The 19130-nt window shown below is 31.9% G+C and overlaps 1 protein-coding gene across 1 annotated transcript in view; it reads left to right on the top strand.

Moving 5' to 3' along the window:
• HCN1 (hyperpolarization activated cyclic nucleotide gated potassium channel 1) overlaps positions 1-19130 on the top strand; it is a 441433-nt gene that overhangs the window by 227036 nt on the left and 195267 nt on the right. The window contains exon 3 of the mRNA NM_021072.4: positions 7338-7499. Coding sequence (NP_066550.2) covers positions 7338-7499 — 162 coding nt within the window. The remainder of the gene's footprint in view (positions 1-7337; positions 7500-19130) is intronic.

The raw sequence follows: 19130 nt of genomic DNA, 5'->3' as shown, positions 1-19130 counted from the left end.
CATTTCCAATATTCATTCATAATTAGATTTTCCCATCACTTAAGCTGCTTTTTAAAATAAATTAAGCATATGAGGTTATGCTTGCTCTTTCGTTTTTCCTGGGCATGGTACAATTAATAAATGTTCTGACCTGTCACATGGTCATCATGAAAGTTGAAAAGATGTATTTCTTTTCCTAAGGAACTTAAGAATTATAAAGATTTGGGTAGATTCAGTTAAAAAATAACCTATCATATTAAAATAGGTGATATTTTAAATATGACTCTATAATATTAAAATATAACTATACCAAAATGTCACCTATCAAAACATTTTTGTTTTTTGACCTATTCCAAGTTGTCAGCTGGTATTGACTTGAAATTTGAAGAAAAATGAATAAAATTAATAGAAACAGTTCAGCTCAGTTAGATATTTATTAGTACTGACCCCTTTATACAAATTGATTTGTTAGTTGAATAACTTCTATAGGAGGAAAAACATTTGTTGAGCACGAGCTCTGTGCCACCAGGCATTGTGCTTGACAGATTTCAAAGTTTGTACTTTTACAGTTTACATTATACCTATTTCCTGTCATTGTTTCCTACCAAAAATGTTCAAAGGATTCATATCTTAAGTTTCCCATTTGTTGATATTTCTCTTAGTAATACATTATCTCTGATTATTCTCAGACTGTTAAAGCTAAATAACAAGTTTCCATAAAAAACACACTTTTCATAAATGTTTTAGATAGATGAAATTAAAATTCTATGCAAAAAATATGTATGCATAGAAATGGATGGTATATCACATAGCAGCAAATAAAATGAAACATATATAGAAATTCTGAGTAATAGCCAAGGTAAAATATAGTTGAAAAGGTAGTTAAGAAACATAACAGGTTTCTAAAAAATAACTGAAATGTCTAAAATTGCTTTCTTTTTATTTTATGCAAACATGTATATGTTTATTAAAGGAACACCTGGATTAAAATAACATATACACCTATACTTTATTTTACAACTCATGATTGATAAAGAATACATTCTGTTCTATAACTACTTATATGAGCATATCGTTGTTATGAAAAGTACTATTTTCTTCACTGCAGTCATGTAATGAGACATATATTTCTCTAATGTTTCAAAGGTATCATCATATCTGTGCCACTTCAAAAAGATTTCTCAGAAGAAAGACTTCTTAAGTTTTGATACACCATTTGGGAAATAAAGTCAGCCTGAAGTATCTTCACATTTTCCTCATATATGGGTTGGTTTGAGAATCAGAGGCCCAGAGTAGCTATGAAACATCTGTCCTTCTGGAAATCAAATTTTGCTTTGTGCCTCCTGGAAATGTGTACATATAGCCATGAGAAGAAATTTGTTTTACCCTGTAAGGCAGGCCAGCTCTCTCTGTGTCTCAAAGTTCCGATGAGTTGTGTTTGAGAAGCTAAACAGAGAAGACTAAAAAGAGGGAAAAAAAGAATTAGGAAAATACCTAGGAAGTGAAGATTCTTTTTCAATTAAAATGTTTTTTAGGAATTGAGAGATTTTATTGTTTTTAAATCTTTGGGGGTTAATCTAGCCCCCAAAGTTGAGGGAATTCAACTATAAGAGTATTCCTTTTGAAAATATAAAACTTTAAGCTGAAACTGAAGAAGATAGTCATGGGCTTTGGGGAAGTAGAAAGAGAGAATGGGTTGTTGTTAGGAATAGGGAAATGGATAGACCATTGCTGAGGGCCTCAACTAAGGTTGCTATCCTTTAAAAAAAATTAAGTAGTACAAGCTACACAGTTTGCTCTCCAGTAATCTTCCAAAGTTTAGGTATACAAGGTGGCTGTTTTGATTAATCAGAAGTTGACATTTTTTTTTCAGAGAAAATGCAGTGGAAAAGGACAGAGCCCTTAATAAATGGAGATGTGTGGCACGTGGACATTGGGAGGTTGTTTGATGCCAGAAATGAGCAAAATTATGGGTAGTGTAGGCAAATAGAATGAACATTAAGAAAATAATTTTTTATATAGCTGGACAAATAACGTGTGACGTTGTCAGAGGGCAGTGAGGAAATAAGGGCACTCACATCAGAACCTAAGACATTGGGGTTTGAAAGAAGTGAACAAACTTTGAGAAAGCTACCAGAGAAGTTGCGTCTTTGGGGAGGGGAAGGTGGTGGGGAGAGTCTTAAGTCTCAGGAAAAGCAGAGAAGTAGAGAAAGCATTTCGTGAGGTGGCTGAGGGTATTTGATAATTAATTGATTATGTAGGAGGAATTTTGGAAGGAATAGTGGAAAGAAGAATCCAGGTAAAAAGCACTCAAGAGCATGAGTATGGGACAATACTTGGAGGAGGCTGAAGAGTGGATTATTGCTTTTGGACTATGGACAGAAGATGATAGTTTTGAAATGTTCAGATGGTTGACCTTCTGAATGTTAAGGTATTCTCAGTCCAAATAAAATCCTAGTTAAAAAGGGGACTGATAAGATTCATCCAATGACTGCAGTCATTGGTCAGTGTTAAAAGAGATTACTATGAAGAGTGTTATTCTCTCATATGAAGTAAAACCTTCTACACTTTGTACCTAAAGCATGGAAAGATGACCTGAATGACTTTCAGGGCAAGAATCACAGAGGTATAATAGGGCTTTTAAAATATTTATTTTACCATTGATTAGGACTATTACATATTGAGCCCTGAATATATGTTAACAGTACAACTGAATCTGAGTAGCTGTTTTTTTAATTTTGTGTCAGGATGGTATGTATACACTCCATCTAAAAAATATAACAAATCGTGCAGGTGCCGAAATATAAAGAGAAACAGAAGAATCTAACCTTGTTTTACACCTTTTAAAATAGAATGTTCTCTGTCAAGACAGGCATTTTTGGCCCATTTTCTTAATCTTATTTTGATACTTACGAAGGTGTATTAAGAAGTCTTGAATCAATATTGAGATCACACAAACTAGCTCAGAAATTATCCCAGTATGTAAAGTCAACGACTAAAAGCAGTTTAATGCACAATATAAAGAGTCTTCAATTATTTTTGATAGTTTTTTGGTTAAGGAAGACAAAATAGAACAAATAATTAAGCATAGATTAAGGTCATTCGTTTTATATACAAGCTATTAGATTGAAAGACCGATGAATCCAGTTCATCAGGAAAGAATATGGAAGCATTTTAAAAGAATTAAGCCAATTTATGGATATCTGTTGTATAGTGCAGTTTAGAAAGACCTTTTAAAAACAAGATGAAATAAACATTGCTCCTGGGAAAATATCACAAAAAATCACATTTATGATGAACGATTCGCAAATATTAAGGTAGAATTTGGGATTCTGACTTAAAATATCCTAGAGCATTTTTCAGTTTTAGAAAGTTAATTATTTATCCTGTCTGGAGTTATTGGACTCCAACTAAATAAAATTCTAAACCTATAATATAAAAAAAGTTCAATGAGAATTTGTGACCAGATCTTTCTTCTTATTAAGGTCACATGAACAGCACAATGTCCTGAGCTGGACAAATGTAAAGCACCGTGTCTCCTAAAGACATTGTTTGTAGTCTAGATATGGTGAAAATAAGATTAAAGAGTTGTTTAAAAACTTTTTTTTTTCACATCAAAGTCTCACTTTGTCACTCAGGCTGAAGTGCAGTGGCATGATCTCGACTCACTGCAACCTCCACCTCCCAGGTTCAAGTGATTCTCCTGCCTCAGCCTCCTGAGTAGCTGGGACTACAGGTGCCCACCGCCACGCCCGGGTAATTTTTGCATTTTTAGTAGAGACAAGGGTTCACCACATTGGCCAGGCTGGTCTCGAACTCCTGACCTTGTGATCCACCCACCTCGGCCTCCCACAGTGCTAGGATTACAGGTGTGAGCCCCCGCACCTGGCTGAAAAACTTACTTTAATTACATTTTTTTCAGTTGACTCCTGTAAATACCACTTGAAAGTAACTTAAAAGTGTATTGCTAGTCGGGGAAGAGAGCCTTTCTTTCTGTTACCCCAACCCTGAGCCCTCTTACCCTGTTACCCTAACCTGAGGTTAGGTTTCAAGTCAGGTTACTTAGAAGATGGAAAATAATAGTGAAGTTTTTGATTTTTTTGTTTGTTTTAATTCCCTTGTTTAAGATACAGAAGCAAAGTGGTACACCATAAAAGGTTATTTATGTTATTATTATTAAACCCCTTCAACTCTCTCATTCATTCATTTAGTAACAATTTACTGAGGGTCATTCATGGTGCCATTTTACATGAAGTCAAGTTTTCATGCAATAGCACCAAGACAATTGATTTATATGGAAATTTATTACTTAAGAATGTCCACCTTATAGATGAAGAAAAACTAAAAATATTGATCAATAGTGTTAGCCACTTGATTAGTAAGGTGAATAAAGTCACACTTAGATTTATCCTACAAGCTGCCCTTATTAATAATAAGTTGTGGCTGTGCATAAATTAGATCAGATGCTTCCTTCTTTGGTTAACCTGACTATCTACAGATGTGTGAGCTCCGTAAGGAAGTAGCCTTCTCATTCCAAATCTTTCTTGAGTAAAGTTTTAACAGGGCTATTAATCTCAGTATTCAGATCGTATGTAATGATTATGCCTGCCAGAGTATCTTAGTTATAAGGGTTCAAAAGACAATCAGATCGGGCCGAGATAATGCACACATTCACGTATTCATCACAAGTAATATTATATACTTTACATATGCTCTTTTATCAGTTAGATAAATAAAGATGAAGATATATGGGTTTGACTAGTTGAAATTTGCCTCTGCTATTAACCAGTGTAAAAATACCCAACTTGCTTGTACCTTCTCCAAAGTTAAATTTTGGGATAGCTCCAAAAGTGATGTCAATTTTGAACACATAATATTAATGTCCATAAGGGAGACTGTTTATAAAATTAATTATGTGAGTTCTTACTGAGTACTCTAAAGATAGTAGAGTTACTGTATGAAGCCAGCACTAGCACTACCTAACATTATGGAATTGGGAATGACTATTTGGTAGCAGATAGGCTTGAATCTAGGCATAATCTTATAATAGTTCATGAAAATGCATAGTAGCAAAACAAAAAGTGTTTCTAAAGTGTTATCATTGATGTTATATCCCCATTAACTTCCTCTATGAAATTAGTGGTCCTGTCTCTCTAGAGAACATTTTAGAGATAATAGGGTTTTCTTAAAGGAATTGAATAACTTAGCATATTATTTTATCTTTATCTCTTGAGAGCCCATGAAAAGAATCTAATTTCCCAAAAGGAAGTAGAAAATGCAAGAAAAACCCAGTCAGATCTACCAAGAATCGATGCTAGTTCTCTAGACCATTCCATACTCCACTCTAAAGCCTGATAATTGAATGATGGCCACTGCCTGTATACTTATAATTTGTAGATTTTGTAATATTTTCAGATAGTTATTAGTTGCCTCAAATAATTGGGCTGAAATGTGATAAGCTTCCTGGTTTTTCCAGAAGTTTATATTCTGCAATTTAACACTATTTCCCAACAAAACGCAGTCTTTATCCACAAGACATCTTAAATGATTTTCTCAGGAAATATTAAGATATAAATGTAAATTCTGTTACTAAACAACAACAAAAAAACTAAGTTCATGATGACTTTTTCCGACTTTATCAGTAGAAAGCTTTTTTATTATGTTGTATTATATAACTTTTAATGAGAAATTATTGATGAAATTGTTAGTAGAGTTTCTATTTATGTATTCAGTGACCAAGAAATATCAGAGGGAATAATATCAAAAGGATGTTTCTGTAGGTTTTCCAAATTTAAAACCAAAATAAAAAGTAGCTTACAGAAAAGTAAAATTCTTAATGCTATATAATAAGTTGTGTGTATAGCTGTCTGAATATCAAAATATGTGGTCTGTTGCCCTTAAAATTAGAACTGCCAACTTTCTTTTAAAAAGAATTCAGAACAGTGTGTATATTCCCACGAAAAAAATCTTTTTGCTCACTATAATTACTATGTCAAAAAGATTGTTTAAAGAAAGAATTAATGCTCATAGAAATATATCAAACTGAAAAACATTTAATTAAAGACAGATTTTGGTTATTTTATAAAAGCAAAATCACAGATGCCCTGTCATTTTACCTCTGAGTACTTCAGTGTGTGTATTTTAAGAATTATAGATATTTTCCTACAAAGATATCATTTCTAAAACCAAATGTATTTTTTTTGGTTTTCTTTACATTTTTTGGATAATTTTTCAATACAAGTTTACCTTGTTACTTCAAAAACACACCATTCTTTTGGTGAATTATACAAAAAGTGATTCTAAATATCTGAAGTTATTGTGTTTATAAGTACTTACTCAAATTTAATTGTATTTATTAATGCAGTAATTCCTTAACAATTATAACAAAACTTAGTTCTACAATGTAGGTCTGCTCCCAAGTGGGTTTTGCTATTCTAGACTAGGTAAAATATAAGTAGAAACTATATTAGCAGCCAGTTAGAGAGTACAATAAACTGCTAAAGAAAGGACTCACATTCTGAATCTATTTCTTGTAAATTCTAGAAAAATGAGTAGTTACAGATGTAAAGATGGGTATTTGTTTCCATTTATAAAATTTTGATGGATTATGTTGATTTGTCATAATGTTTGTGTTTTCTGAAATAATCTAACCTACCATACTGAATTTCATCAAAATACAAACAATAAGGAGTAACTGAAAAGTAAAGCCTGTACCATAAAAATACAAAAAGTTTATGGAAATAGTTATGATTTTTAAAAGTGTTGCACAATTGTTTTTAAACCAAATCCAGGTAGCCTTTATCTCAAAGGCTTCTATTTATGTTCAGTATCCACAATTAAATATCTCCACTCACATAGCTATAAATTTAACTGTAATTTATTATCAATATTACTTCATATTTTGCAGCTGAACTCCTTTGGCATATGGTTTTCAGTCCTTGGGTATTTTCTTTGTCTTTCAACAAATCTATTAATATAACAAGAGATGAGAAGCAGAGTAGAAGCTACCCATCATTTGTAAATTTTGCTACCTTGTTTTAAAGTAGCTTTGCTAAAATATGCAAAAGAACAATAAATAAAAACTTCTGGCAACATCGATGTTCTTTAATACATACATTTATATATTCATGCTATCTCTGTTGCTCATGAGACATAGTTGGCTTTAATATTCATAAAGTGGAGTGTCAACCTTATTGTAAAAATAAAGAAATGTAATCTGTTTCTATTTCTGCAAGTTATTCCCATATTTTTATTAAATCAATGCTTACGCTACACAACATCAATGCCTACTATCAGTAGTATGCTTGATTTTTCTAAAAAATTGATTATAAGAATTGATTTTATATTTTGGTCAACAGATATTCCACATGACATATGATCTCGCCAGTGCAGTGGTGAGAATTTTTAATCTCATCGGCATGATGCTGCTCCTGTGCCACTGGGATGGTTGTCTTCAGTTCTTAGTACCACTACTGCAGGACTTCCCACCAGATTGCTGGGTGTCTTTAAATGAAATGGTTGTAAGTAAATTCTGTTATTTTACACTCTGACTTTTCAACGTTGTGCCAAAACCTTTTAAGTAATTATGTTACAATGATCTGATTTCTTCTCTATAAATGTTTACAGACAACTTGATTTTGCTTCTATGAATATAAAATCAGATGTTATGTTTGTGGAGGGTGGTTACAACTAAATTTTACTAATTGACTATGTTCCTGAGTATGTATATGTTACAACATCTACTTTTATATATTTTATTCTGTGTATACTGAGGCATATCTTATTTCAAAGATACAATCATAAAATATTACCACAGTACAGCATTCTTTCAAAAATGCCTGTGGCTTAGAATAACGCCTTATTTCATCAACATTTTTTAGCTTTCACTAGGTTCAAGACATACACTTTTAGGGATTGTAAAACATGCAAAGGCAGATACATCAGCATAGATATAGATTAAATATGTATGAAGCCAAATGAAGTTTCAGATACTACTTTTTGCTAAGGAAAATAAGGAAAACTTCGGGGAAAAGGTAGGCTTTAAATTTACCTCTGAAAGTTATGTAAATATTTAAAAAACTATAAAGTATAAATTTGATTTAAATAGCTATGTATATTCCTATTTAATTTTAAGAAGATATGTTTTGATCTATATAATGCAACACTCAACACTCACAAAAGAATTAAAAGAACAGGGAATATTTTGGTTGATATATCTATAAATCTCTCTATATATATTTTATATATACACACATATGTGTTCACAAATGTTTGTTCTTTTTGTATAAGTTCCCATATTTTCTTCCTGCATTACATTTTAATTACATTTTTACTTAATAAAACATTGTTTAACTGTGAATAGCCCTCTTTGATGTGTGACATTTTATGGTACTTTAATTTTATGAGATTTTTACATTTTTCCCTTAGGTATAAATCAAATACTGTCTTTTCTCAAACTGTTCTACTATTGATTTGTTGGCTTATTTTTGTAGAAATTACATGGACACCAAAGATTATGATTTTTTCTCCTAATGATTGTAGCATAGGTTTTCTATTTGAAAAAAAAAAGGCGATTTACATTGACAGTTAAGATGTATTGTCTTCTTTTCTTCCTTTTCTATCTTCTTCCCTATTGTCCTCCTTCCTTCCTTCCTTTTTCTTTTTGTCTTTTCTATGCTTTCATTGATATTTGACCTGATATTTATTATATTTACCTAGATCTCGCTTCATTTCATTAATATTTGCTTATATATCACTAAATCACAAAGAGCTCTCCTGACCACCTTATGTGTATGTATATACACTTTTATTTGTTATTTATATTTTTCTGTGTTCCCCACACCAGAATGTAATGTCTGTTCTCTTCTGTCCTGTATTTCCAGTGGTGTCTTGGTGTATTTTGTGCTGCTATAATAGAATACTATGGACTGGGTAATTTATAAAAAACAGAAATGTATTTCTCACTGCTCTGGAGCCTGGAGAGTACAAGATGAAGGTGCCAGCACGTTCAATTTCTGTATCTAAGGTGGCACCATGCTGCTATGTCCTCCAGAGAAGACAAATCTATCCCTCACATGGCAGAAGGTGGAAAGGCGGCAGGAACATACTTCTGAAAGCCTTCTTTAATCTATTTATGAGAGCAAAGCAATCATGACCTAAACACCTTTATTAGACCCCACCTCCCAACATTGTTGTAATATGGATTAAGCTTCTAACACATGAATTTTGGGAGTCACATTCAGACCATAGAAAGTGCCTAGAATAGTACCTGACACATTAATTTGTTGTGACTTAGTCACTTATCATTGACAGTTTTTTTGAGAAATATTCTATATGGTAGTTTCGATAACTAAAGAACAAAGTAAGCAGTAGTTTGGTTGGCTCATTTTTCAAACCTGTGATGTCTACTTGATTATAGATCTGTCACTTTACTTATCTTTTTGAAGGAGGAAAGTATATGGTAAAAATAGTAATAATTGTATTTTTCAGGAGAAGAAAAGGCAACAGCTCTATAATCTGGCTACTGACTGAGAGGATAGTATAAAAACATTAGCACTACTGCCAAAAGATGATTCATTGGCACCAACCAATATTTAATTTGGTAAAAAATTATTATTTTACATTTTTCCTATGTATCTTTCAGAAAAATACCAATTGTCATCATAGATATAGTAAAATAACTATTTTGGGATGTCTATAAAGTACATATGGTAGTATAATTATAAGGCAATATACTACTTAATATATCTGATGATAAACACATTTATTGAAAAAAATTCTTGTTTTTCTTTAAACATGTCTATATGTGCTCAAATGTGTGTGTTCATGTGTGTGTTTGTGGTGTGTGTGTGTGTAGTATGTTTATTCCAACATAGCCCAACCTTCAACCTTTTTTAATATCCTGACATTATACAAAATATCTTTCCAGAATTTGCAATTCACTTCTTGGCTTTTTTTTTTTTTTGGCTGCAGATTTACATATGAAGTTGGTTTTTATTTTCTCTTGTGTTTATTTAACATTTTTCCATGTGTAACTCGAATGTAGAGAGAAGGAAACCGTCATGTATGTTCAAATATAAAAGCCATAACTTATTTTATTTTATTTTATTTTATTGTTTTTATTTTTTGAGATGGGGGTCTTGCTATGTCGCCAAGGCTGGTCTTAAACTCCTGGAGTCATGTGATCCTCCCACCTTGGCCTCCCAGTGTGTTGGGATTACAGGCATGAGCCATCATGCCTGGCCTAATTTATATTGTGGATAATAGTGATGTGAAGGAAATAACCATAAAAAAGACCATTTTTGAATCAAGAGAGAATCTTGATGGTATCATTTGACCTTGAAGATACTATTTTTCCATTCTAAAGTTATGGAGTTTTGGTAAATCATTTATTGCAATAATAAAAAGCAAAGTATATTTATGCACAAGGAGTTATAATGGAGAAGTGCAAATCCAATATGAGAACAAAAGCACCCTGCATTTATTTAATACACTTACTATATACAAAACTCTGTGCTTTGAAGGATGCTATCTTATTTGGTCCTCACAGCAACTGAATGAGGTAAACATTATTTTGCCCCACTTTTTGGCTAGAAAAACTAAAGTTTTTAGAAGTTAAATGAATAGTCAATGTCACACAGCTAGATTATAGAACCAAGAGTAGAATGCTTATATATCTGACTCTGTAATTTCTGCTCTAAACCATGTTGGACGGTTTTGTGCAGCATAGATTATAAAGAACAGTTAAGGAAGGTAGTAATAAAGAGACAAAACCTGTTAGTTAAAGCACTCCAACTGCAGTAGAAAATCCCATTAAAATTAACGTTTGAGCTCTGACACTAAAAAGTGGCAAGATTGATCTTTTGTGAGATGTAGAAAACCAAAATCAAGTTGAGAAATCAAAAAATTAAGGAGCCAGGCCAGGATATATGCAGGAATGCACTCGTCTTTCTTGGGTTTGGGCTTGACAAACATGCTATGACCTTAGGCTCTGATTCTAAATTATTTATAATAAAGATTAGTGGGTCTAACAAATTCTTTATGTTTATTCTTCTTCATTGTATCCTTCCATCATTAAATTATTTTTATTCTTAAATATTAATTACTATATATTTATATCCTTCTTAACTGTATCTGCACTTATACCCATACTTTTATCTGTATCCCACTAGCTAGATGAGGAGAAACTCAAAGTCAATGCTATAATTATACTGTATCTGTAACTGTAGTGTTGATAATTTGTTTAATATATCTATTCTTATATTAACTATTTCATTCCATAAATGTAGGTTCAATCTCTCTCAGTGAATTCCTTTGCAGTCTTTCTAAATTCCTCATTAAAGTTTTTATTTAAATATTATTTTTAAAAAGTCAATCACTAACCGTCGCAGGTGCTATGGTTTAAATGTATCCCCCTAACTTCATGTGTTGAAAACCTAATCCCCACTGCAGAAGTGTTGGGATGCAAAGTCTAGTAAGAGGTGATTACATAAAGAGCAGACTGACCTCATGAACAGGTTAATATTGTTATTGGAGAAGGGGGTTAGTTATAAATATAAGTTTGGCTATCTCCAGCTCTCTTTCACATGTGATTGCTGGCCCTTTCACCCTTCTATCCTTATGCCGTGGTAGGGGACAGCCGAAAGGCCCTCACCACATGAAACTTTAAAAGATCTTGGATATCCCAGCCTCCAGGACTGTGAGCTAAATAAATTTCTGTTCATTATAAATTACCCAGTCTGTGGTATTTTGTTGTAACAACGGAAAGCGGACTAAAAGTGCAGGCTACTTAAATTGACTAGGAAGGAGATACTGACTTGCAAAACACAACGTGAACAGGAAGTAACTTTGCTTTGTATTTATATTATTTGTTTTTGTTTCATTCAAGAAATAAGTCTGAATTATATAATTCTATCTGAATGAAAATCTTGGATATAGCAGATAATTACTTTCTAATAAGATTAGTTTTATTCCCATGACATTTTGTGGCTATGTGTTTAGGTGTACAACACTAAAATTATATTAAATCATTATAAACAAGATTGGGAGTAATGGGTTTTTGTTAAAATTACAAGTATGAAATATTCATTTTAAGAATATAAGAAAATAAATGATGCACGTTAACTTGCGTATTAATTTTGAACTGAATCTCAAATATCGGATGTAACCTAGGGAATGACTTTATAGAACAGATAAAGAAGGATTTTCAGCTAAACAGTACATTCCTAGAGCAATCTTTCTTTAAAAGTCTATAGGTTTACTGTCAGGGAGTCCATGTTTTCTACTAGCAATCTTATAAATATATGATTACATGTTAGTAATCATTTTGAAGGTTTTAACATAGCATGTTATGAATTTAGGATTATCTGAATGTCATACATATGGAATCTGAATATGCTTTTGTAGTTGGAGCAGGTTGTGTCATGAGGAGTTACATCAAATAATTCTGGTTTTTGAGCATAACAAATAAATGATGCATTTATACCAATTGAAAGATTAATAACATATTAAATCCTGTACACGTTTCACCGTAGTCAAAATGAAGAAAAACTTGGATAAGTCAATTAGTCATTCCATAGCACTCAGTTGTAGAATACTGTATAAAATCACACAATCTACAAAACCTGGCATTACAGCACTACATTTACATTTTATGCACCTACTTGGTTTTAGCAAAACAGCATTACTCATCACAGTAAATTTACATTAAGATGTATTTGTTGATTCATTATTTTGTATTTGATTTGTAAAATTATGTTTGTTTTAGTTTTATACTTGTATTTATTTGAGTAACATTATAATCAAAATAATTTAACCCAAGTCAAGGGTATTTCATTGTAATGATTCATTTGTTGTGATTTGAAGGAATCTGTGCATTATTTAATTTTGATAAGTGCTATTCTACAGTGCAGACAATTGGTCTTTCATGTATCTGCATCCTAGACAACTCCTATACCAACTCTGCATGTGTTGCTAACTAAAATATTGTTTATAATCAAAATGGTAATTATCAGCATTTTTTAAAATATGTGCAAACTAATTATTCAGTTATCTATTTAAGTGGTCTTCCTTATACAGTTTTTGTTTTAATGATTTGTGCATCTCAAGTTATTTTTTTCAAAGATAAGTAATCAATCACTTGACCATACTCTAAATTACTGAATTTAGAACTCGTGGACATACTCTAAATTGCTGAAGTCAAAATTAATAAGCCTCTAATTCTCTACATATCTATAGATATATTAATTTCCAAAAAGTTAAGATGCGTAAACCAATCTAGCAATATCAGAGAAAAAAACTGATATAAAAAATGTCTGTAATGGTCTAATTAGTAAAATCTATATGGAGAGAATAAGGGATTCCACTGGAAAATCTAGGTTACTCTATTTTACTTTTATTTGAAACAATGTGACAGGGACACTTACTAACAACCAAATAGCCACGTGCTTTCCATATTTTCTAGCTGCCTTTCAGTTAGATGGGTACCTGTCTGTGCTATTAATTAATAATTAATGGCCTATGAATAGCAGTATATTTCACTTATAGGTATAAGCATTGAAAAGCTGCTATAATGCCCTCAACCCTTTTTTTTTTTTTTTTTTTTTTGAGTTCCAGAAGCATGTCTTAATTTGAAGCTCACACATAACATAGCCTATCCTAACTCGTTTGTACAGAAACATAGGGGGCGAAATTTGCAGAATTAAATTTAAAGACATACATATCGGAATTACCTCAACCCCTAAATCTGCTGATTTTATGCAAGTCACTTGACTTTCTTGTACGTAGCTTCTTAGCTATGAATTAAGTGTATATTATGTATTTTTTCATTTAAATGATCTATTGAGTATTTCTTTGTTCCAGACATTATTCTAGGCACTAAACACATGGTAGAGGATGAGACAAAGTCCCTGCCCTCATTAGGCTTACATTCTAACATGCTTTTATTCAAACTATCTTTTCTGGGTACTAAAAACTATATAAAACTTGACAAAATGTAAGCTCAACAATGAATACATTTATAATCCAGTGAAATGGTAAATTATATGACATATCTATTAATAGGAATTTGAATTGAGAGCTCTGAAATGTTTGCACTGCCCAAAGAGCATGGTTCAAGTGCTGGTGAATTACTCCCCTTTTTTCTGTTTTCCAAACTGTGTTCCCTTGAAAATGAAGCCATGCAAGCCTATTTTCTCTTCTTAATTTAGATACCCAGGGAGTACAGTCTGTTTTCTAACTCATCCAGTGGTGTTCTAGTAGTAGCCCTGTGTGGATTGAAATAAAATCTATGAAAAACCGAGGGCCAGGGAGACACAAAATAGAGAGACATTCATTTCAAGTAGTATTAGCTGGCTTTAGATCAGGAACCTTCAATAGAGTGGGGAATCAAGATACTTCAGGCACTTCTAGCTCAAAAACTATAATCATCCCAATAAATGTGTGCTGGGTGGGCAGAGAAGAGAGAGCTATTTATTGATATTTTAAGTAAATAATTTGGAAAAAAAGCAATGAGAATTATTCATATGTAAGCTCACATATACAATTAGAATATAGAAACCCGGACAATTATTTTATCTATTGCCATTCTATCAAATATTTAAGGGCAAAATTAAAATAGATTCACTTTTTGTTTACAGAGCCCATTTAACTACTTAGGTAATGACTGATTGACATAATATAGCCAAAGTAATATTACGAAGAAATGAGCTAAAAAATCTCTTAATTAAAAATATATTTCCCCTCTCTTGAGATTCAGTAATCTATTTTAGATTTGAATTTCTATGGCTTAGAAATTGTATTATTCTGATAATATTAATTTTTTAAAATAGAACGTACTGCCATAACAGAAAGATTTTATTTTTTTTTATTTTTTTTTATTTTTTTTTAAGACCTAACAAAGGGTAACTAATTTGCTGACAAGTCACTGTAGCTCTACTGGAAAAAAAAATGCCTTCGTAGCTCCTATGAGTTATAATAATAAAGTAGGTCAGCAGCCTGCTGAGTGTTGCGATTCTCCTTTGCTGTCCTGTCTCTCCCAATTAGCAAAGTCTGCCTGGCAACTGCTCTCTATTGGATAGAAACATGACCTCATCACAAAAGGGAAAGGGTTCACATACTGTGTTCTTCCTTCTCAGATGTGGATTCTCTTACAGGAAAAAAATAAGGAAATCAACTCTAATCTGATATTTTGTTTTCAGATAAAATGTGTATTTCAGAAAATTTTAAATCGAACTATAATTTCATCATCGAGAGGGATACAGGATATTGATGAGATTGTATATTGGCTATGGTGACCTTGAGTTGCTTTAGCAATGTAAGACCAAGCCGTTAAGTTCCAAACATGTTTTTGTTCCCGCTTACATAGACTGGCTCTTAAATTTTAAGCAACAAATAGCAGAAGAAGCACTATTCATGAAATTACCTTATCTAACAAGTGGCACCTGATAAAGTTGAAGAAAAAAAAGTATTTTGCTGTCTAATATTTCCTCCAAAATGATTAATTTGCTAGACTTAGTTCTCCGTTATATCCTTGCTATTCTAAATGTTGTTGAGACATTCACAAATATAGTATTCATGTATGTATAACACATTATCTCACCTATTTTGAAGGAAATGAGTAAAAATACATTTACCATTTTAAAGATAAAGAGTCTGAAACAGAATTGTTATTCCATTTGCATAAAGCCAGAGACAGTATGGTAGCTGGTTATAAAATCCATATTTCCCCTTGGATTAAGGATGAACCCACCATACCATTCTACTTCATGAGCCCCAGACAACTTCATCTTTTATAAACCATTGCCAATTTATGTTTATAGAAAACAACCATGAATTGGCTGCACTGCTGGAAGAGCTCAGAATGTATATGAAAAATACGTGAAAAGTCATTGTGTTTTGTATGTGTGTGTTGGGTTTTAGGGTCTTTCCTTTTACTACTGTCGTAAATTCAAAAGAATCTGGCAAAGAAAGGCAATTATAATATCTTATTTTTTCTGAACTCCTCATATATTTACGTTTCACATAAAAATGTTGTTTTGAATTGATGCAGATTGGAATAAAATAGTAACATTGTCTTCAATCTGGGAATCAGTGGAATAGCAGACTAATAGTTTCTACTGTATTATTCAATTTACGGATATACGGATGTCAGGCAATTCATATGAACTTTCTCTTTCTAAAGAGTTCAAGGTTATCATTCTCTGTTTAAAAGAGACTTATATAGACTTAAATTATGTAAGCTAAGTTGCCTATTTTCAGATAATTTTCCAGACAAGATTATATAGTTGCTTCCCATAATGAAAGGCTCTCCACACTTTGCTTTTTCTATTCCATCTCATTTTTATCCCTCCTGCTTTATACCCCAGTCTAATTATGCTACTCTAGAGATATATGACAGAATCAGAAGTGACATGAAGAAAGCCATGTGATAAATGCGGGATATAAGAAAGAATAGGAGGGACACTTTTTGAAACCTAAAACGAACATTTCGTAACCCCATTGTATAACCCATCATTTTTTTTGAAGTGTTTGTTGTTTTTAGAGATGTAATTTATTCTGGAGTAATGAGTAAATTTTATGATGAATTTGGCTTTTAAACCTTTAACTTATTTCAGCTATTTTATACATATATTCTTATAATGTATCAACCACTGTAAGCAATTTATTAAATGAGATCTTAAAATATAGAATAGACTAATTGGCCCATTTTCTTTAAACTTTGAGGGTCTAGACATAGGGCCATTATGATTAACATTTAAATACTCTTTTAGGGAACAACAGACAGTGAGGCCTACTTGAGGGTGGAGGGTGGGAGAGGGAGAGGATAGGAAAACTACCTATTGGGTTCTATCTTACTATCTTATATACCCCATCATTTTTTAGAAGTGTTTGCTGTTTTTAGAGATGTAATTTATTCTGGGTACTATACTTACTACCTGCGTGACAAAAAAAAAATCTCTATATCAAACCCCTGTGACTTGCAATTTTCCTGTATAGCAAACCTGCATATGTACCCTGGAACCTAAAAAAAAAAACAAAAAAAAAAAACTAAATACCCTTCTAGTATTTACCAGCTAGGTGCCTCAGAAACACAGCTCCAATCCAAATAAGAGTTAATCAATACCTGTCTCTGTTCTACATCCAGTATCTCATATTTCATGCATAGAGAAATAGGCACACCTAGCTGTGGACTGTTATCATTTATTCTCATGCATAAGCTTGGTAATGATAAAAATTGTGTAGGGAAAGTTTGGAATTTACCATATCTTTGTATTTTACAAAAAACATATAGCAGTGAATCACAATCCATTCTCTATACTCCAGTAGCGTTTTCTTGAGCATATCATAAAGTCAATTAAAATGGTCTCTAATTATATTCTAAATATAGAATGAATATTATTTATAATATCTACTTATAATGTCCATCAAAGCAAATGATGTGTATTTAGAGATCACTGTGTGCTACCCTTTGCTACTGTGATCAATGTGATAATCTAAAATCCTGATTCCTACAACATGGGGAAGGGCTTCTAGTGGAAATATGTTGAATTTTAACTACATACCAAATGTGGATATAATTGAATTTGACCTTCTTAATTTTCCAGAAACTATGTTTTTGGCCTTTAGGTGACTTTTCAGATTTTTTTAATTGATGTTGTGTTTTTCCTAAGGTCAGCTATTTATTCACTTTTTTAAAAAAAAGATTTTTACTGAGTTCAATGAAATTATAATATAATAGAAAAAGGTATCATTTCCATGGTGGGCATTATTATCTCCCCATTGCTCCCAAGCTAAAAGTAAGCATTAATGTGCCATTTATTTATGATTACATTTAGTCTACAACTTTTGTAATTCTGTCCTCGACTGAGTTATCAATTCTTAAGGAAAAAGAAGAGAAAAGAAATTTACCATGTGCCTGAAATCAGTAAATATTAGGCAAATCAAACCAAAATGTAGTAATCTGTAACATTTAATGGAAATCATTCTCCTGAGGGGCACCTTTCCCTTACATTCATCAGTGTTATTATTTCTCTATATTTTTCTGTTCTGATTATACCAAGAGATCAGAACTTTTTAATAAGTAGCTCTTTTGAAAAATATTAAAAAGAAATGTAAATAAATACAGATTTTTATACAAAGGATCATGTTAAAATAGAAACCCTATAAATGAGAGATGTAGAGACAGTTTATATACAAATATTTATGAGACTGTCATGCTCTAAAGTTTTTGAATGTATTTCTCGATCATTTAATTTGTATTCAAATTCATTGTATGAACAGGGTAATTTCCATGGTGATTTAGTGTTGTACAGGAATTAAATTATTGCAAAATTTGAAGAAACCAAAAGTAGGATAAACACATTATCTTACAGAAGAATGAAAAAAGGAATAGAAGTAGGAGATAGAAGCCAAATAGCTAATACAATAAAAGCAGATTGTCTTTTCTCCTCCAGGCTGTTTTTTGCCATTGAGACCATTCACCATTGTCACTAGGTGGTACTGAAGCCTGCCCTATTTCTTGCAAAGGAGATAAAACTTATAACCTTTATCATAACCATGTGTTGTTTGAGATCCTAACACTATTTATTTTCCTGAGCTACATTCTTATTAAGATCTTTTATTTCTTGTCCAGGAAGTAAACAATATAAGTTTATGGATGTAATTCTACCAACTACTATTACAATAATTCCTATACAGGAACTGCTCCCACATATCTAATATTTAGTACCTGCAATTCATTATTATTTATTTTGCTTATTTATTTGTCTAGCAGTTTTGTGGTATCTGTTCACAACCATGTGAAGCAAATTGTCTGTATTGATTAATAAATAACTCATTAATCATAGTGTCAAAAACACTTTTTAAAAGTACTTTATATATAATCACCAAGATTGTGAATAAATTATGAATTAGGAAAGAGACATTCAAATTATCTATAAAACTCAATCAGAAAGCTGGTGACAGAACTGGAACTAAGACCACAGTCTCCTTACTTGTACTACCTTCTATTTTCCATCAATGTATGAATATAGAAATCATATACTGATATATTAAGGTCCAGATGATTGGGTAAAATCAAACTTTGCTTCAGTTTCATTGTTTTTATTTAAAAATGGGAGTTTATCTTTAATCAGTTGATAAGTTAGCTACTG

The sequence above is a fragment of the Homo sapiens genome, chromosome 5 (genome assembly GCF_000001405.40).
Source record: "Homo sapiens chromosome 5, GRCh38.p14 Primary Assembly".
In the NCBI taxonomy this organism is placed as follows: domain Eukaryota; kingdom Metazoa; phylum Chordata; class Mammalia; order Primates; family Hominidae; genus Homo; species Homo sapiens.
This window is presented reverse-complemented; position numbering and strand designations above follow the sequence as displayed.